This window comes from Homo sapiens, chromosome 7, assembly GCF_000001405.40.
Source record: "Homo sapiens chromosome 7, GRCh38.p14 Primary Assembly".
Classification (NCBI taxonomy): Eukaryota; Metazoa; Chordata; class Mammalia; order Primates; family Hominidae; genus Homo; species Homo sapiens.
The window spans coordinates 72,731,613-72,751,414 of record NC_000007.14 but is presented as its reverse complement, the minus strand read 5'-3'; the positions used below and the strand labels follow the sequence as shown (position 1 = coordinate 72,751,414).

The 19,802-nt window shown below is 40.3% G+C and overlaps 1 protein-coding gene across 4 annotated transcripts in view; it reads left to right on the top strand.

Moving 5' to 3' along the window:
* Window positions 1-19,802, top strand: part of TYW1B (tRNA-yW synthesizing protein 1 homolog B) — a 253,688-nt gene that overhangs the window by 76,786 nt on the left and 157,100 nt on the right. Inside the window, exon 8 of one of the 4 annotated variants that reach the window (NM_001145440.3) lies at window positions 6,814-6,931. The exons of 2 other annotated variants lie outside the window; for them this stretch is intronic. In NM_001145440.3, coding sequence (NP_001138912.2) covers window positions 6,814-6,931 — 118 coding nt within the window. Of the gene's footprint in view, window positions 1-6,813; window positions 6,932-15,327; window positions 15,471-19,802 lie in introns of those variants that run through there. One more of the 4 variants, NM_001412182.1, reaches the window with a different exon arrangement.

The following is a 19,802-nucleotide window of genomic DNA, read 5'->3' as shown; positions in this document are numbered from 1 at the left end:
AAGATAGAATCAGTGACCTTAACAGATCAATAGTACGATTGGTGAACAGGACAGAACAAGAGAATTTACCCAATCTGTGCCGAGTGTGATGGCTCACGCATGTAGTCCTAGCACTTTAGGAGGCCGAGGCGGGTGGATCACCTGAGGTCAGGAGTTCAAGACGAGCCTGGCCAACATGGTGAAACCCCATCTCCACTAAAAATACAAAAATCAGCTGGGTGTGCTGACGCACACCTGTGATCCCAGCTACTTGGGAGGCTGAGGTAGGAGAATTGCTTGAACCCAGGAGGTGGAGGTTGCAGTGAGCCAAGATCATACCACCGCACTTCAGCCTGGGTGACAGAGCTAGACTCTGTTTCAAAAAAAAAAAAAAGGGAATTTACCCAATCTGAACAACATAGACAAAAGTAGACTGGAAAAGAACATTAAGTACAGCCTTAGAGATTGCGTGGCAGTTTAGGCTGAGTATCCCTAATTTAAACATCTGAAGTCAGAAATGCTTCAAAATTAAAAATGTTTTGAGCACTGACATGATGATCAAAGGAAATACTCATTGGAATGTTTTGGATGTCGGATTTTTGGATTAAAGATGCACAACCAGTAAGTATATTGCAAATATTCGAATATCTGAAAAAATTTGAAATCTGAAACACTACTGGTCCCAAGCATTTTGGATAAGGGATGCTTAATTTGTGGTAAGAGATCCAATATTTATGTCATCAGAGTTGCAGAAGGAGAGTGAAATTTCATGAGTGGTGCTGAAAGAGTATTTGAAGAAATAATTGGTTGAAAGTAGCCCAAATTTGATGAAAGACATCAACCTACAGCTTCATGAATTTGAGGGAACCCCAAACAGGATAAAACCAAAAGAATCCATACCAATACTTTATATAACTAATCATCTAAAAACTGAAAAAGGAAAAAATATGTAAAGCACCTTGAGAGAAACAATCTATTACCTATAAGGTAGCACCAATTTGAATGACAGCACGTTTCTCATCTGAAACCATGGAAGCAAGAAGGGAGTAGCACAATAGGATTTCAAGTGTTGAAAGAAAAGAACGACGAACTTTGAGTTTCATATGCAGCAAAATATTGTTTAAGGATGAAGGATGAATAATGGCATTATCAGATGAAGGAAAATGGAAAGAATTTGTTGCTAGCAGACATGCCCTTAAATATTGGCTAAAGAAAGTTCTTCAAGCTGAATTCAGGGCTGGGTGCAGTGGCTCACGCCTGTAATCCCAGCACTTTGGGAGGCTGAGGTGGGCCAATTACTTGAGGTCAGGAGTTTGAGACCAGCCTGGGCAATATAGCAAGACCCCATCTCAAAAAAAAATTATACACATACCCACCCCCCCACCAGGTGTTCAGACACGTGTCTTGTAGTCCCAGCTACTTGGGAGGCTGTGAGGGAGGATCATTTGAGTCCAGGAGTTTGAGGCTACAGTGAGCTATGATGGGTGACAAAGTGAGACCTTGTCTCAAAAAAAAAAAAAAAACAAAAAAAACCAACATAGAATTAATGAAAATGAGAATTAAACGTATCTGTAGGATGCAGCTCAAGCAGTTCTCAGAAGAAAATTTACAACATTAAATTCTTACATTAGAAATGAGGAAAGGTCTCAAATCAGCAATCTAGTTCCTACCTCAAGAAACAGAAAAGAAGAGCCAAGTAAAAAAAAAAAAAGAAAATGGAAGGAAGTGAAGAATAGAAATCAATGAAACTGAAAATAGTGTAATAAAAAATCACTATAAAACAAAAAGCTAGTTCTTTGAAAATATCAATAAAATTGATAAATCTTTAGTTAAGACTTGAAAGAGGCTGGGTGCGGCGGCTCACGCCTGTAATCCCAGCACTTTGGGAGGCCGGGGTGGGCAGATCACGAGGTTGGGAGATAGAGACCATCCTGGCTAATACAGTGAACCCCGTCTCTACTAAAAATACAAAAAATTAGCCGGGCTTGGTGGTGGGTGCCTGTAGTCCCAGCTACTCAGGAGGCTGAGGCAGGAGAATGGCGTGAACCCAAGAGGCAGAGCTTGCAGTGAGCCGAGATCGTGCCACTGCACTCCAGCCTGGGTGACAGAGCGAGACACCATCTCAAAAAAAAGAAAACTCAAGTCATCAATATCAGGAATGAAACAATATTATTACAGGTCCTGCAGCCATTGAAAAGATGATAAGGGAGTGCTGCAAACAATTTTATGTTGATAAATTTGGCAACTTAGGTGAAATACATCTATTCCTCAAAAACTATAACTTATTAAAACTCAACCAAAATATATAATCGGAATAATCCTGTAATCATTGAAGAAACTGATTTTGTAATTAAAAGCCTCCCCAAAGTGAAATCTTAGTTTTCAATGGTTTTCCTGAAGAATTCTACCAAATATTTAATGAAGAATTAATGCCAGTTTTACTTAATATCTTCCCCAAAATACAAGAGGTGGGGAACATTTCTGAACTCATTTTATGAGGCCAATATTAACCTGATAAAACCTGACAAAGATAATGCACTAAAAGAGGACTAAAGACTAATCTCTCAGGAATTTAGATGTAGAAATCCTCAACAAGATATGAGCAAATAGAATTCAGCCAAGTATAGAAAGAATTATATGCCATAACCAAGTGGAATTTTTCCCAGGTATGCAAGGCAGGTTCAACATTTAAAAACCAAAGCAATCCACCATATCAAACATGCTAAGAAGAAAAAAATCAGTCAGTCATATCAATTGATTCTGAAAAAGCATTTGGCAGAGTCTAACCCTTCATCATTAAAAACTCTTAGCAAGTTAGAAATAGAGGAATATTAACCTCTACAAAATTCTTACAGCTAACATCATACCTAATATGAGAGAGTAAATGCTTTTCCCATTAGATTGGGAACAAGACAAGTATGTCTGCGTTCACCACTCCTGTTTTACATAGTATTGTAAATTCTAGCCACTGGAATTAGTCAAGAAAAAGAAAATGCATACAGGTTGCAAAGGCAGAAATAAAGCTGTCTTGTTTTGCAGGTGACATGATTGTTATGTAGAAAATCTCAAGGAAATGACAAATAAATTTCCTAGAACCTGAGTTCAGCAAGGTCACAGGATACAATAGCAAAGCACAAAAATCAATTGTATTCTGTATTTTTTTTTTTGAGGCGGAGTCTCGCTCTGTCACCCAGGCTGGAGTGCAGTGGCGCCATCTCGGCTCACTGCAAGCTCTGCCTTCCAGGTTCCCGCCATTCTCCTGCCTGAGCCTCCCTAGTAGCTGGGACTACAGGCGCCCGCCACCAAGCCCGGCTAATTTTTGTATTTTTAGTAGAGACGGGGTTTCACCATGTTAGCCAGGACGGTCTCGATCTCCTGACCTTGTGATCCACCCGCCTTGGCCTCCCAAAGTGCTGGGATTACAGGCGTGAGCCACTGTGCCCGGCTGTATTCTACATATTAACAATGAACATGTGAAAACCAAAATTAAAAATTTCATTTACAGTCACTCCAACGAAAGTAATATGCTTCGATTTACATTTAACAAAACATACACAGGACTGGATGCTGAAAATTTTAAAAATGCTGATAAAAAAATAAATGAAAATCTAAACAAATAGACATAGCATGTTCATGGATTAGAAAACTCAGTATAATAAACTGTCATTTCTCCCCAAATTGATTCTGTAGGTTGAATGCAGTTCTTACAAAAATACCAATAAGACTTTTGTAGAAATAGGCAAACTTACTCAAGACTTGAAAGACACAGGCCCTAGAATAGCTTAAACAATGTTGACAAAGAAGAAAGAACTGGGAGGAATAGTTCACTCTGATCTTGTAGCTTACTGTGCTGTCACAGTTTTCAAGACAGTGTGGTACTACTGGTAGAGAGATAGACATAAATCAAGGGAGAGACTAGAGATCCCAGAAATAGACTCACAAAATATGTTTAACTGTTTTTTTTACAAAAATGCAAAAGCAATTCTGTATTAGTCCGTTTTCATGCTGCTGATAAAGACATACCCAAGACTGGGAAGAAAAAGAGGTTCAGTTGGACTTACAGTTTCACATGGCTGGGGAGGCCTCAGAATCATGGCAGGAGGCAAAAGGTACTTTTTACATGGTGGTGGCAAGAGAAAATGAAGAAGCAAAAGTGGAAACCCCTGATAAACCCATCGGATCTTTTGAGACTTATTCACTATCACAAGAATAGTACAGGAAAGACCGGCACCTGTGATTCAGTTCCTCCCCAGGTCTCTCCCACAACACGTGGGAATTCTGGGAGCTACAATTCAAGTTGAGATTTGAGTGGGGACACAGCCAAACCATATCAAGTTCCATGTTGAAATTTTCAACAAATGCTGGTGGAGCAATTAGATATCCATAGGCCAAAACCAACAGAAAAAAATAAAAGACCCAAATACTGCTCCTCCCAACAAATTACAAAAAAGAGTGTCTTAAACCTCACACCTTATATAAAAATTAATTCAAAATGGATCACAGACTTAAACATTTGGAGACATCATTTTTTAAAACGAAAAACATTCCATCCTCTTCTCACATGCTTCTTTGCCTGTGTCTTAGAGAGTCCTTTTGAAAAATCCTTTTAGTCCTTCAGTATTGGATTTGGACCGCACACCTCTGGGAAGCTCTCACTGGTCCTTTCGCGAAGCTACCTTGGTTGCTCTTCCATCTTATGGGCTCTAGTTCTTACATGATCTGTCCTCTGTGCACGTGCAGAGAGATCTCTGGTCTCTCTTCCTGTTCTTATAAGGACAGTAGTTCTGTTAGATTCGGGTCCCACTCACCTGACCTCACTTAACCTTAAATACCTCATTAAAGAGCCTATATCCACATGCCATTGCATTGCATTGAGGTTTAGGACTTCAACCTGAATGGGACAGGGGAGCATAGGGCAGTTCAGAACAAAGCGTATTAACTTCTTAATCAATAGTGATTGAAGTGTACATTTCTTCAACTTTGTTTCTCTAGTGGCATGAGATTTTGTGGAAATTACTCTGTGACTAGCATTTGTTGGACATTTCGGTTTTCAGTGCTATTTACAAGATTTGAATGTTTTGTTTGCTGCCTTGTACATTTTATTAGGAACTTGGAAGAGGTTTGTAGGCACAGGTTTTCCCTTCACTCCTTTTTTTCAAATGCAGTACTAAGATGGACAGGGAAACTTTTTTTTTTAAATTAGAACAAAAAATAGTTAAAAGGCATCATGGTCAACTGACAGTAAATAAGCTAGTAGACTTTTATGTAATGTTCTTTCACTGTGGATAGGCTTATATTAATAACAGTACCTTGGGAGGTCGAGGCGGGCAGATCACTTGAGGTCAGGAGTTCAAGACCAGCCTGACCAATATGGCAAAACCCTGTATCTACAAAAAATACAAATACTAGCCGGACGTGGTGCCATATGCCTATAATCCCAGCTACTTGGTAGACTGAGGCAGGAGAATCACTTGAACTGTGAGGCAGAGGGTGCAGTGAGTCAAGATCACACTACTGCACTCCAGCCTAGGTGACAGAGTGAGACTACACACACACACACACACACACACACACACACACACACCCCTATACACGTGTAAAGGCTACTCATTCGTGTCTCTGCTTTCCTTCTGCTTGTTCGTTGTTGGTATTGTTAATTCCATATTATTTCAGTCACTTGGCCTCAAAATCAGTTATTTTGGATGACTTCCTCTGTTTTGCCCCTCAGTGGGGAATGACATTGATTTCACTTCTTTAGTAACCTACCCATTCCACTGACCTTAGGAGAAAGTCATCATTACCTGTCTGACATAACCTCCTCCCAGGCTTCACTGCTTTCACTTGTACTGAAATCAAGCTCATCTTACCCAGAGCTCTGGACAGATCTGATTTTACCTTTTAAAGCTTGATATTATCTTGATTCCATCCCTAGTTGATCTAGATATTTCTTTAGATTACCTACTTACTACATGTACCAACTTATATGACTCGTGATATTTGTTTTTATCCCTTGCATCATCAAATAGTGATCTTTTTGGAAATGGGAATAATGTATTTCTTGTATACCTGCTGCTTGCTTCCACAGTGTCTCAAATATGTATGCTCCAGGGCTGGGCACAGTGGTTTGCTCACAACTGTAATCTTAGCATTTGGAGAGGCTGAGGTGGGAGGATCGCTTGAGACCAGGAGTTCAAGACCAGCCTGGGCAACATAGTGAGACCTCATCTCTACAAAAAATTAAAAAATAACCAGGCATGGTGGCTCACACCCATAGTCCCAGCTACTTGAGAGTCTGAGGCAGGAGGATTGCTTGAACCCAGGAGTTGGAGGTTGCAGTGAGCTATGATTGCACCACTGCACTGCAGCCTGAGGAACAGAGCAAGACCCTGTCTCAAAACAAAACAAACAAAAGAACGACACTCCAGGATGCATTCCCTTACCCATCCTTCTTTACTCAGAGCAGGGATATGCTTGCATAGGCAGACAGCCCCCATTTTTTAGGAGTCTGTTTTATCTGTTTCCTAGCATTATATACTATTGTACTAATATTATTTGAAGGAGTCTGATGGATTTGAAAATGAAAGCATTAGTGGTTCTCCCTGTAGAGTTTTCAGAGTTAATGAATCATAGGTTTATTTCATTGGGCTTTAGTAAAAACCCAAAGCACTGCCAAAACACTAAAATGCTCTGATGCGAATTTCCTGCGTCATGCAGATACTAGTAGGAGTATTCATGGTTACGAAACACATGGTTTCTCTTAAAAATGATGCCTTGGTGGTTTGTTTCTGTGCTTTGACGATTTTATTCAAATTGTGATTTGTTTACTTGTCATAGTCGATGCTCCGAGGGAGAGGAGCTTGTTACAAACACACATTCTATGGAATGAGAGCCATCGCTGCATGGAAACCACCCCGAGCTTGGCGTGTGCTAATAAATGTGTCTTCTGTTGGTGGTAAGTAAAAATGAAAGGTCATGGTGATCGAATATGTAATGAGCTGTGGTAATCAATCTGCCCAGCTCACACTCAGACTTACCCAAGAGCTCTGCTGTCTTGGTGATTAATCTTTTTCACTGTGAATGTTAGTGTATAAAAATTTTGTAGACAAATATTTTTGTTTCTCTTGGACAAACACTGTGAGGAATTGCTGGATTTGTAAACATCCATTTGGACAGTTTGTCTTTTTTAACTGGTGAGTTTAGTTTGTCTTATTTATAGTGATTATCGATAAATAGTGATACATTAGTGATAAAAATTTATTTTTATTCTATCCTTTTGTGCTTTCTGTTTATCTTGCTCTCCTACATTGTTTTCTTTTTTTTCTATCTACGACTAGTTTTATGCTAAGGTATCAGCTTGGGTGTCTTGTTATTGGAGGCTTTTCAGTTTATCTTGCTGGAAATACAAGCAGTGAATGTTGTGTTTCAGCTGGTTACAGCCCATTGTATGCAGAATTGAGTCTTTACAGCAATTGGGAATAGTTTAAGTGAAAGAAAATGGCTAAATTGCACAATTCTGCCTCTCTCTTTTTGGGGGTGGTGGTGCTTGCTACTAACCCATTTCTTTTTCTTTTCTTTCTTTTTTTTTTTTTTTGAGATGGAGTTTCGCTCTTGTTGCCCAGGGTGGAGGGCAGTGGCGTCATCTCGGCTCACTGCAACCTCTGCCTCCCAGGTTCAAGTGATTCTCCTGCCTCAGCCTCCCAAGTAGCTGGGACTACAGGTGTGCATCACCACGCCCAGCTAATTTTTGTATTTTTAGTAGAGATGGGGTTTCACCATGTTGGCCAGGCCGGTTTTGAACTCCTGACCTCAGGTGATCCGCCCACCTCGGCCTCCCAAAGTGCTGGGATTACAGGTGTGAGCCACTGCACCCAGCCTACTAACCCATTTCTTTCCTTCACTTACAACTGCTTACTCTTCAACTCCTAGTTCTCTATGCCAACTCATGTCTTCATAGCAGCTCATTTTGTTGTGGTCACTAATGACTTCCTTACTATCAGATCTAATAGAAGCTACTTAATTCTTATCTTAGTTGAACTCCAGTGAGGCATGCTAGGAAAGAAGGGGGACGCCACTCCTTCTGTTGGATTCAGAGATACCAGTCTCTTCTAGTATCCCACCCACCTTTGTCAGTTTCTTTTCAGTTTCCCCTGTTAGCTCTTCTTTCTGCTTCTGTCCTTCAGCCGTCTTTTATGACTCTGTGTTATGATGGTAGGAGAAGTAAACCATTTCCGTGGCTTCATTTACCTGTAGTTTGACACCTTTAAATACTTTATCTCCAGTCTCAGTCTCTTTTCTGAATTTTCCTTCTCCATTTCCAATTTCCTGTTGCATATCTTCTCTTGGATCATCCACAGTCATTTCAAGCTTAATGTATTTATCATGGAATTTATTAGGCTTGTGTTAACTTGTTCTGTTTTGGGTAATGGCACTATTAGCCATCTAATGGCCCAGACTAGACATTTCTTCTCTTTTTCTCAAACCCACTATATCCATTTGCTTATCTAATTCTATTGATTATGTTTCAGATTCTCATTATTTCTCCCTTTAGCAACCAAAATGATTTAATACTTTCTAGTCAATGTCATCTCTTAATTTATCTCCATATTGGCACAAGAGTTATAATTCTTTTTTTTTCCAGTTATTAAAAATATTGTTTTGATTATTATAAATGCTTATAATAACTTGATTTGGGGGTTATTTTGTTATGATTATTGGGGATTACAAATAAATTTTAGCAAGTAGACAATGTTACAAATATGAAATCAGTTATTAATGGGATTGACTATTTTGAATTAGTAACACTATTTTGAATTGATATTATTTGACTCAATAATAGTCAAAAACTTTGCCCATAAACAGCTCTGTCCCGCCTCCTTTATGTCATTGTCACAAATTACAACTTTATATACTGTATGCCCATTAACATAGATTTATAATTGCTGTTTTATACATTTGTCTTTTACGTCATCAAGAGAAAAAATAGAGGAGTTACAATCCAAAAATACTGGCCGGGTGCAGTGGCTTATGCCTGTAACACTAGCACCTTGGGACGCCAGGGTGGGTGGAGCACTTGAGCCCAGGGGTTCAAGATCTGTCTGGGTAACATGATGAAACCTTGTCTCTACGAAACATGCAAAAATTAGCTGGGCATGGTGGTGCATGTCTGAGGTCCCAGCTACTCCAGAAGGCTGAGGTGGGGGTGATCATAAGCCTGGGAGGTGGAGGTTGCAATGAGCCTTGATTGTGCCACTGCACTCCAGCCTGGGTGGCAGAGCAAGACCCTGTCTCAAAACAAACAAATGAAAAACAAACACAAACAAATAAAAATCCAAAAATACAACAGTGGTGACTTTTGTATTTACCTATGTATTTTACCTTTATGTTGTTCTTTGTATATTTGTATGATATGGGTCTGTTTAGTGTCCTTTCATTTTTGTCTGAAGGACTCCCTTTAGCATTTATCGTAGGGCAGGTCTGTTAGCAGTGAACTCCCTCAGCCTTTATTTGTCAGTGTCTTAATGTCTCCTTCAGTTTTGAAGAATTGTTTTGCTAGATATAGAAATCTAGACTGACAGTTTTTTTCTTGTAACATTTTAAATGTACTCTCCCACTGCCTTCTGGCCTCCATGGTTTCTGCTGAGAAATTGGCTTTTAATTTTACTAAGGATCCCTTATACGTGATGAGTGCCTTCTCTCTCGCTTCTTTCAAGTTACTTTCTTTGTCTTATTCTTCCAGCAGTTTGATTATAACATATCTTGGTATGGATCTCTTTGTGTTTGTACTACTTAGAGTTTGTTGAGCTTCTTAGTTCTGTGAATTCAAGTCTTCTACCAAATTTGGGAATTTTTCAATAATTATTTCTTCACATGTTCTTTCTGTTCCTTCTTATCTCCTTCTGGAACTTTTATTATGCATATGTTGGTATGCTTGATGGTGTCCCCCAGCTCTTTTCAATCTGATGGTGTGCTAAGACTCTGTTCAATTTTCTTCACACTTTTTTTTTCTACTTAGGCAAGATAATTCCAAATTGATTTGTCTTCCACTTCACTGAGGTTTTTCTTTTGCCTGTTCAAATCTTCTGTTGAAACCCTCTAGTGAAGTCTTCATTTCAGTTATTATTCTTTCACATCTTCTGTTTGGTTCCTTCTTATCATTTGTATCTCTTCATTGATATTCTGGATTTGTTTAGACATTGTTTTCTTGGTTTCCTTCATCTCTTTGTACATGGTTTCCATTAGCTCTTTGAGCATGTTTAAGATAGTTGGCTTAAAGTATTTTTTTAGTTGGTCTAATGTCTATGCTTCCTCAGGGAGAGTTTTTGCTAATACATGCTGGGAATGGGCCACACTTGTTTCTTTGCATGGTTTGTATGCAAAGAAATGTTTTGTTGAAAACTGCATATTTTGGCCTGGCATGGTGGTTCATGCCTGTAATTCCAGCACTTTGGGAGGCCGAGGTGGGCAGCTCACGAGATCAGGAGATTGAGACCATCCTGGCTAACACAGTGAAACCCTGTCTCTACTAAAAATACAAAAAATTAGCCAGGCGTGGTGGTGGGCACCTGTAGTCCCAGCTACTTGGGAGGCTGAGGCAGGAGAATGGCGTGAGCTCGGGAGGTGGAGCTTGCAGTGAGCCGAGATCACGCCACTGCACTCCAGCCTGGGCAACACAGCAAGACTCCGTCTCAAAAAAAAAAAAAAAGAAAACTGCATATTTTGATTATTAGAATGTGTTAACTCTGGAAGTCAGATTTTTCTCACTCTTCAGGGTTTGTTTTTTATTGCTTGCTCTGGGTTTTGTTTGTTTAGTGAGTTTTCTAAACTATGCTTGTAAAGATTTTATTCTTTGTTTTATATTACCTCTGAAGTCTGTGTCTTAAGCTCAGGGGTCAGCTAATGATTTGACAGAGATTTCCTTGAGCTCATGGAGCCAAAGGAAAAAAATTGGAGAAAAAAAAAAAAAAAAAAGCTTCTCCCAGTCTTTGCAGATTGACTCTGTCTTGGAACATTTCTTTCGCTTTTTTTTTTTTCCTTTTGAGACAGGGTCTTGCTCTGTCACCCAGGCTGTAGTACAGTGGTGGAATCTTGGCCCACTGCAACCTCCACTTCCTGGGTTCAAGCAATTCTCATGCCTCAGCCTCCTGAGTAGCTAGGATTACAGGTGTGTGCTACTACACCTGGCTAATTTTTTTTTCTTTTTTTTGAGACAGAGTCTCACTCTGTCGCCCAGGCTGGAGTGCAGTGGTGCAATCTCGGCTCACTGCAAGCTCCACCTCCCAGGTTCATGCCATTCTCCTGCCTCAGCCTCCTGAGTAGCTGGGATTGCAGGCGCCCGCCACCACACCCGGCTAATTTTTTGTGTTTTTAGTAGAGATGGGGTTTCACGGTGTTAGCCAGACTGGTCTCGAACTCCTGGCCTCAAGTGATCCACCCGCCTTGGCCTTCCAAAGTGCCGGGATTACAGACTTGAGCCACCATACCCGGCCTGGAACACTCTTTTAATGTTTAGCCAGGCCATTTACAACTCTGCCTTAGCCTTTGCTTCCTGCTTGTGCTGAGCCTAAAGATCGGGCAGAGGTGAAAGTTTAGACTCTTCCTAGGCCGCTTCTTAGCATGTCTCCTGTCCAGTGTGCCTTTCTAAATCCCAGGCGCATGCAGGTGCTTTTCAGTGCTCCAGTTCACCACATTAGCCTTGGTGCCTAGCTCTTCTTCCCAGGCATTCAGCTGTGTATTGTTTACCTCAACTATAATTTTTTTCTTAACAGCAAGTTGTTCATGTACCTACTGAGACCTTTGTTAACCCCTCTACCCACTTTTTTTTTTTTTTTTGGAGACGGAGTCTCACTCTGTCACCCAGGCTGGAGTGCAATGGCATGATCTTGGCTCACTGCAACCTCCGCCTCCCGGGTTCACGCCATTCTCCTGCCTCAGCCTCCTGAATAGCTGGGATTACAGGTGCGTGCCACCATGCCCTGCTAATTTTTTGTATCTTTTACCAGAGACAGGGTTTCACCATGTTGGCCAGGCTGGTCTTGAACTCCTCACCTCGTGATCTGCCCTCCTTGGCCTCCCAAAGTGCTGAGATTACAGGAGTGAGCCACTGCGCCTGACCCCTCTCTACCCACTTTAAAAAAATTCTTATTATAGAGTTTTTTTAACGTAAGCAGAGAGAGAATAGTATATTAAACCTCGGTGAACGTTTATCATCATATGGATAATCATATTCCATTTACCTATTTTAATACAAATCCTTGCCATCATATTGTTTTATCTGTACATACTTCAATTGACAGATCATGTAAAATGTAAATAATAAGATCTGTTAAAAAATAATATAGCCACAATACTATCATCCCATATTAAGCCCTGTCACCTAGGCTAGAGTACAGTGGTGCAATCATAGCTCACTGGTACCTTGAACCCATGGGCTCACGTGATCCTCCTGCCTCAGCCACTTGAGTAACTCCAGCTACAGGCTTGTGCCACAATGCCTATCCAGTTTATTATTATTATTTTTTTTTTTTTTTGATAGAGACAGGGTCTCGCTATGTTTCTCAAGCTGGTCTCGAACTCTTGGCCTGAAGCAATCCTCCCCTCTTAGCCTCCCAAAGTGCTGAGATTATAGGCGTGGGCTACTATACCATATTCTTTTACATGTATTTCCTCTTTTAGTTATCTAGAGATGTGGTAAAAACAAACAAAAAACAAAACACTAAAAGTATCTCTTAGGTCATCCTGTTAAATCGGTGGTTCTCAGCTGGGGGCAAAATTGCTATTTCTTGTCCCACACAGAGATTTGGAACATTTGACAATGTCTCGAGATATTTTTTATTGTTAGAACCAAGGAGAGTGCTGCTGGTATCTGGTGGGTAGAGGCTGGGGATGTTGCTAAGCATTCCCTAATGCATAGGACAGTGCTCCGCAACAAAGGATTATCTAGTCCAAAATGGCAATTGTGCTGAGGTTGAAATAACCTGTGTGCCATGGTCTACAGTCACTATTTCAGTGAAGGGTATTGCTGAAACATGGCAGCATTGAAACAGAATGTGACCAGGCCGGGCGCAGTGGCTCATGCCTGTAATCCCAGCACTTTGGGAGGCTGAGGCAGGCGGATCACGAGGTCAGGAGTTCAAGACCAGCCTGGCCAACAGAGGGAAACCCCGTCTCTACTTAAAAAAATACAAAAAATTAGCTGGGCTTAGTGGCAGGCGCCTGTAATCCCAGCTACTTGGGAGGCTGAGGCAGAAGAACTGCTTGAACCCAGGAGGTGGAGGTTGCAGTGAGCTGAGATCACGCCACTGCACTCCAGGCTGGGTGACTGTGCGAGACTCCTCAAAAAAAAAAAAAGAAAGAAAGAAATATGGCCAGGCGCGGTGGCTCACGCCTGTAATCCCAGCACTTTGGGAGGCTGAGGCGGGCAGATCACAAGGTCAGGAGATCGAGACCATCCTGGCTAACACGGTGAAACTCCGTCTCCACTAAAAATAGAAAAAATTAGCCGGGCTTGGTGGCGGGCACCTGTAGTCCCAGCTACTCAGGAGGCTGAGGCAGGAGAATGGTGTGAACCCAGGAGGTGGAGCTTGCAGTGAGCCGAGATCACGCCACTGCACTCCAACCTGGGCTACTCCATCTCAAAAAAAAAAAAAAAGAAGTAAAATGTGACCAAAAAACCACTTTTTAGGAATAGAGTATGTGCTTACAGAGTTTGAGATATTATAAGGTGAGCGCTTGCAAGACAAAAGTATGTTAGCCATATGATTATGTAGACTGAAGTATTGGGATCACATCATACTGAGGTTGTAGGACAAATAATCAAGTATTTTGTGTTCTAGTTTTTCTTGTTTCACAGTTTACACTAAGTATAAATCCTAATCTCTTCTTAAGATTGTTGGCATAAGTAGTTGGTTTTTTTACAGGTCAAAATTCAAAAGAAATAACAGGATCTAATGGGTAGTGCTCCTCAATCTTAATTTCCTGTTCATAGCCAACAATGCAGTCTTTCAGTTTCTTGAGCAGTACATTTACCCAGAGTTTTGGAAAGCAAACAGTATGATTAACACATTCCTTAATGAGATTTTTAGAAAGGTCTAATTAAATGGAGATATTTCATTTACCATGGCTTCTGGTAAAGAAGGACTAATATGTGAGCTTTTAAAATTAGAATTTGCCATCTGTTTCCATTAAATATATAACAAGAATGTCAGAAAAGGTTCATTGAAAATTGATTTAAATGTTACATAAATGCTTTTGTTATTGTCCTTTTCTTGCAGTGGATTCTTAAAATAGCCTCTGAGCCTCAGTTTCTCAGCTGTAGAATAAAACAACATACCTTCCTTACAGGGTTGCTGTAAGGCTTAATTGCTTGAGTGAGGTTCTGTATATGACAGTGGGGTTTTTTTTATTCTTTTGAGACGGAGTCTCGCTCTGTCACCCAGGCTGGAGCGCAGTGGTGTGATCTTGGCTCACTGTAACCTCTGTCTCCTGGGTTCAAGCGATTCTTGTGCCTCAAAAAGATATTCATAATATCCAAAAAGTAGATATACTCCAGATGTCCATTAACTGATGAACAGAGAAACAACATGTGGTGTATCCATTCCAAGGAATGTCATCTGTCAATAAAAAGAAATTAAGTACTGATACATGCTACAGCATGGATTAATGTTGAAAATATTATACTAAGTGAAAGAAGCCGATCACAACAGGCTGCATCTATAGTAAGATTGCATTTCTGTGCATTGCCTAGAATAGACAAATCTGTAGAGACAGAAAGTAGATTAGTGGTTGCCTAGGGCCGGAGGGAATATGGGAGTTGAGGAGCAATACCCGAGGGGATAGCGTTTCTTTTTGGGAATGACAAAACGTTTAAAATGGATTTTGGTCATGGATGCATGTAAAAAGTGAAGTAGAGGCTCCTCTTCAAAGAGATTTTCCTCCCCATCTAATTAAGAATAAATAGTAACTTCTCTTAGAAGCAAAATTTATTCAAAGACCTGTGCTAACATTCTTAGATATCTGCTAGCCGTAATAAAGAAATCAATGTACTTTGTATTCTTAGCTCCCACAATTTGGCCTAAATATTTGCCCTGGCATGCTTATACTGGTCCCAGCAAGCATTAGGTCGTAGCCTATTCCTCTTCCTTTTTTGGAGGTGTTTTTACCTTTCTGAGCATTCCACAAGTTACTTCCTCCTTCCTTTGTTCTCTGCCTTTGCCTCTTTTGAAAAGTTCTAAGTTGCTAGCCAATTGGGACAAATACAGAATGTGAGGTCCTGTTCCAGCCAATGGAAACTGGTAACAGCAGTAGGGTGAATGTGTCAGGTTATAAATGTCCCTGTCTCCTTTGTTCAGTGTATTCTCGTGGCAGAAGTGCTGGCGAGTGTACCCTTTCTGCAGAAAGTAAAAAAATGGCCTTGCTGAGAAAATTAAATTTTTGTTCAGTTGCTATTTCTTTGTAGCACTGGGGAGCAAGCATTTCTAACAATGTGCAACTCTGTGAGTATAGCAAAAGCCAATGATTTATAAACCTTAAATAGGATAATGTTACGGTATGTGAATTTTTTTTTTTTTTTTAGACAGTCTCGCTCTTTTGCCCAGGCTGGAGTGCAGTGGCCTGATCTCAGCTCACTGCAATCTCTGCCTCCCAGGTTCAAGCGATTCTTGTCCCTCAGCCTCCCAAGTAGCTGGGATTACAGGCACACGCCACCAAGCCCGGATAATTTTTGTATTTTTAGTAGAGGTGGAGTTTTGCCAAGTTGGCCAGACTGATCTTGAACTCCTGACCTCAGGTGATCTGCCTCCCTTGGCCTTCCAAAGTCCTGGGATTACAGGCTTGAGCCACTGCACTCGGCCTTTTTTTTTTTTTTTTTTAAGGCAGAGTCTTGCTGTTGCCCAGGCTGGAGTGCAGTGACACAATCTTGGCCCACTGCAACCTCCACCTCCCAGGTTCAAGTGATTCTCTTGCCTCAGCCTCCTGAATAAGTGGGATTACAGGCTCGTGCCACCACGCCTGGCTTAATTTTTTATATTTTTAGTAGAGACGGGATTTCACCAAGTTGGCCAGGCTGGCTTCAAACTCCTGACCTCAAGTGATCCACTGGCCTCAGCCTCCCAAAGTGCTGGGATTACAGGCGTGACCCACTATGCCCAGCCTCATTCTTTTTTATAGGGCTAAATAATATTCCATTGTGAATATATATCACATTTCCTTTATCCATTTATCTGCTGACGGACACTTAGGTTGGTTCTGTATCTTGGCGATTGTGAATAGTGCTGCAATAAGCATGAGAATGCAGCTGTCTCTTCAACATACTGATTTCCTTTCCTTTGGATGTATATTCAGTAGTGGGGTTGCTGGATCATATGGTAGTTCTAGCTTTAGTTTTTTGAGGAATCTCCATATTGTTTTCCCTAATGACTGTGGTAGTTTACATTGCCAGCAACAGTGTATAAGAGTTCCCTTTCTCCACATCCTTGTCAGCATTTGTTATTATTTGATAATAGTCATTTTAACTTGGGTGAGATGGAATTTCATTGCGGTTTTGATTTGCATTTCTCTGATGATTAGTGATGTTGAGCATTTAAAAATGTATTTGTTTGCTACTTGTATATGTTCTTTTGAGAAATGTCTATTTACATCATTCGACCTTTTAAAAATCAGATTATTTGTGGGTTTTTTTGCTGTTGGGTTGTTTGAATTTTTTGTATATTCTGGATATTAATCCCTTGTTTGATGAATGGTTTGGAAATATCTTCTGTCATTCTGCAGGTTGTCTCTTCACCCTGTTGATTGTTTCCTTTGCAGTGCAGCAGCTTTTTAGTTTGATATCATCCTATTTATTTGTTTTTACTTTTGTTGCCTGTAATTTTGAAGTTTTATTCATAAAATCATTGCCCAGACCAATGTCCTAAAGTGTTTCCTCTGTGTTTTCACAGTAGGTAATTTCACAGTTTCAGGTTTTACGTGTATGTTGTTAATCTGTTTTGAGTTGATTTTTGTATATTGTCTTTCCCCACTGCATGACCTTGGCACCTTTGTCGAAAATTGGTTTCCTGTAAATATTTGGATTTATTTCTGGGTTCTCTATTTTGTTCTGTGAGTCGATGTGTCTGTTCTTATATCAATACCATGCTGCTTTGGTTTCAATAGGTTTATAGTTTTTTTGTTGTGTTTTTTTTTTTTGAGATGGAGTTTTAAACTGTTGCCTGCGCTGGAGCGCAATGATGTGATCTCAGCTCACTGCAACCTCCACCTGCCTGGTTCAAGGGATTCTCCTGCCTCAGCCTCCCAAGTAGCAGGGATTACAGGTGCCTGCCACCACTCCTGGCCAATTTTTTGTATTTTTATTAGAGATGGGGTTTCACTATGTTGGCCAGGCTGGTCTTGAACTCCTGACTTTGTGATCTGCCTGCCTCGGCCTCCCAAAGTGCTGGGATTACAGGTGTGAGCCACCGCATCTGGCTATAGTATATTTTGAAGTCATGTACTGTGATGCCTTGAGCTGTGTTCATTCTGCATAGGATTTCTTTGGCTATTTGGGGATTTTAGTGGTTCCATGTGATTTTTAGAATTGTTTTCTATTTCTGTGAAAAATGTCTTTGGTGGTTTGATAGGGATTGCATCAAATCTGTAAATTGCTTTGGGTGGTATGATAACTTTAACTATATTTATTCTTCCAACCCATGGACATGGGATGTCTTTCCATTTTTGTGTGTGTGCTCTCTTCAATTTCTTTCCTCAGTGATATGCAATTTTCTTTTTTTTCTTTCTTATTTCTTTGAGACGGAGTCTCGCTCTGTCCCCCAGGCTGGAGTGCAATGGCACAATCTCAGTTCACTGCAACCTCCACCTCCTGGGTTCAAGCGATTCCCCTGCCTCAGCCTTCTGAGTAGCTGGGATTACAGGTGCCTGCCACCATGCCCGGCTAATTTTTTGTATTTTTTTAGTAGAGACAGGGTTTCACCGTATTAGCCAGGATGGTCTTGATCTCCTGAATTCATGATCCGCCCGCCTTGGCCTCCGAAAGTGCTGGGATTACAGGCGTGAGCCACCGCGCCCGGCCAAGGATTTTTATACCTTTGTTCATCGGGGATATTGGCATGCTATTTTCCTTTTCTTTTTTGTTGTGTTTTTGTCCTGTTTTGTTTTCAGGGTAATACTGGCCTCGTATAATACTGAGTTTCTAAGAATTTCTTCCCCCTTAATTTTTTGAAATAGTTTGAAAAGTATTAGTGTGAGAGGTGTGTGTGTGTGTGTGTGTGTGTGTGTGTGTGTGTGTGTTTTAGGTTTGGTGGAATTTACCAGGGAAGCCATCTGGCCGTGTACTTTTCTTTGTTGGAAGACTTTATAATTGATTTAATCTTGTTAATGATCTGTTCAGGTTTTCTCTTTCTTCCTGGTTTATTCTTGGTAGGTTGTGTGTGTACAGGAATTTCTACGTTTCCTCTAGGTTTTCCAATTTGTTGGTGTACAGTTGGTTATAACAGTCTTTAATGATTCTTTGTATTTCTGTGGTATCAGTAGTAATGTCTCTTTTTTTGTTTCTGATATATTTATTTGGATCTTTTTTTTTCTTGGTTAGTTTAATGGTTTGTCGATGTTTATCTTTTTAAAAAATGAACTTTCTGTTTTGTTGATTTTTGTGTTCTTTTAGTCTCAACTTCATTTATTTTTGCTCTGATTATTATTTTTTTCTGTTCTAGTAATTTTGGGTTTGGTTTGTTTTTGCTTTTCTAGTTCCCTGAAGTGCATTGTTAGATTGATATTTGAAATCATTCTACATTTTTGATATAGTTGTTTATTATTATAAACTTCCCTGTTAGTACTGCTTTTGCTCTGTCCCTTAAGTTTTGACATTTGCTTCTACTTTCATTTGTTTCAGTACATATTTAAATTTTCTTCTTGCTTTCTTCATTGACTCATTGGCTGTTCAAGAGTGTGCTATTTGGTTTCCATTACTTTGTATAGGTTCCAAAGTTCCTTTTATGACTGATTTCTTGTTTTATTCCATTGTCCAAAAACATACTTGATAGGATTTTGATTTTTTAACATTTTTTGAGACTAAAATATGGTCTGCCCTGGAGAATATTTTATGTATGGATAAGAAGATTGTGTATTCTGCAGGTGTAGTATGAAATATTTTGTCAGTGTCTGTTAGGTCAGTTTGTCCTATGGTTTAAATCTGGTGTTTCTTTACTGATTTTCTGTCTAGGTGATCTGTCCAATTCTGAGAGAGTGTGATGTTGATGCCCCCGACTATTATGGTAGTAGAGTCTATCTTTCCCATTAGATCTCATAATGTTTGCTTTATATCTCAGTGCTCCAGTGTTAGGTACATAAATATTTACAGTTGTTAGATCTTGCTGCAGTGATTCCTTTATCGTTACACAATGACCTTTTCCTTGGTGTTGTTTTACAGTTTCTGACTTAAAGTCTATTTTATCTTATACAAGGATAGCTACTCTTGCTTGCTTTTTTTAAATTTTTTAATTTTTTTATTTGAGATGGAGTCCTGCTCTGTTGCCCAGGCTGGAGTGCAGTGGCACAATCTCGGTTCACTGCAACTTCCGCCTCAGGTTCAAGCAATTCTCCTGCCTCATCCTCCTAAGTAGCTGGGATTACAGGTGCCCACCACCACGCCTGGCTAATTTTTGTATTTTTAGTAGAGACGTGGTTTCACCGTGTTGGCCAGGCTGGTCTCGAACTCCTGACCTCGTGATCCCCCTGCCTCAGCCTCCCAAAGTGCTGGGATTACAGGTGTGAGCCACCACACCCAGCTGCTTTTGGTTTTGGTTTGTGTGGTATGTATTTTTCCATCCCATTCACTT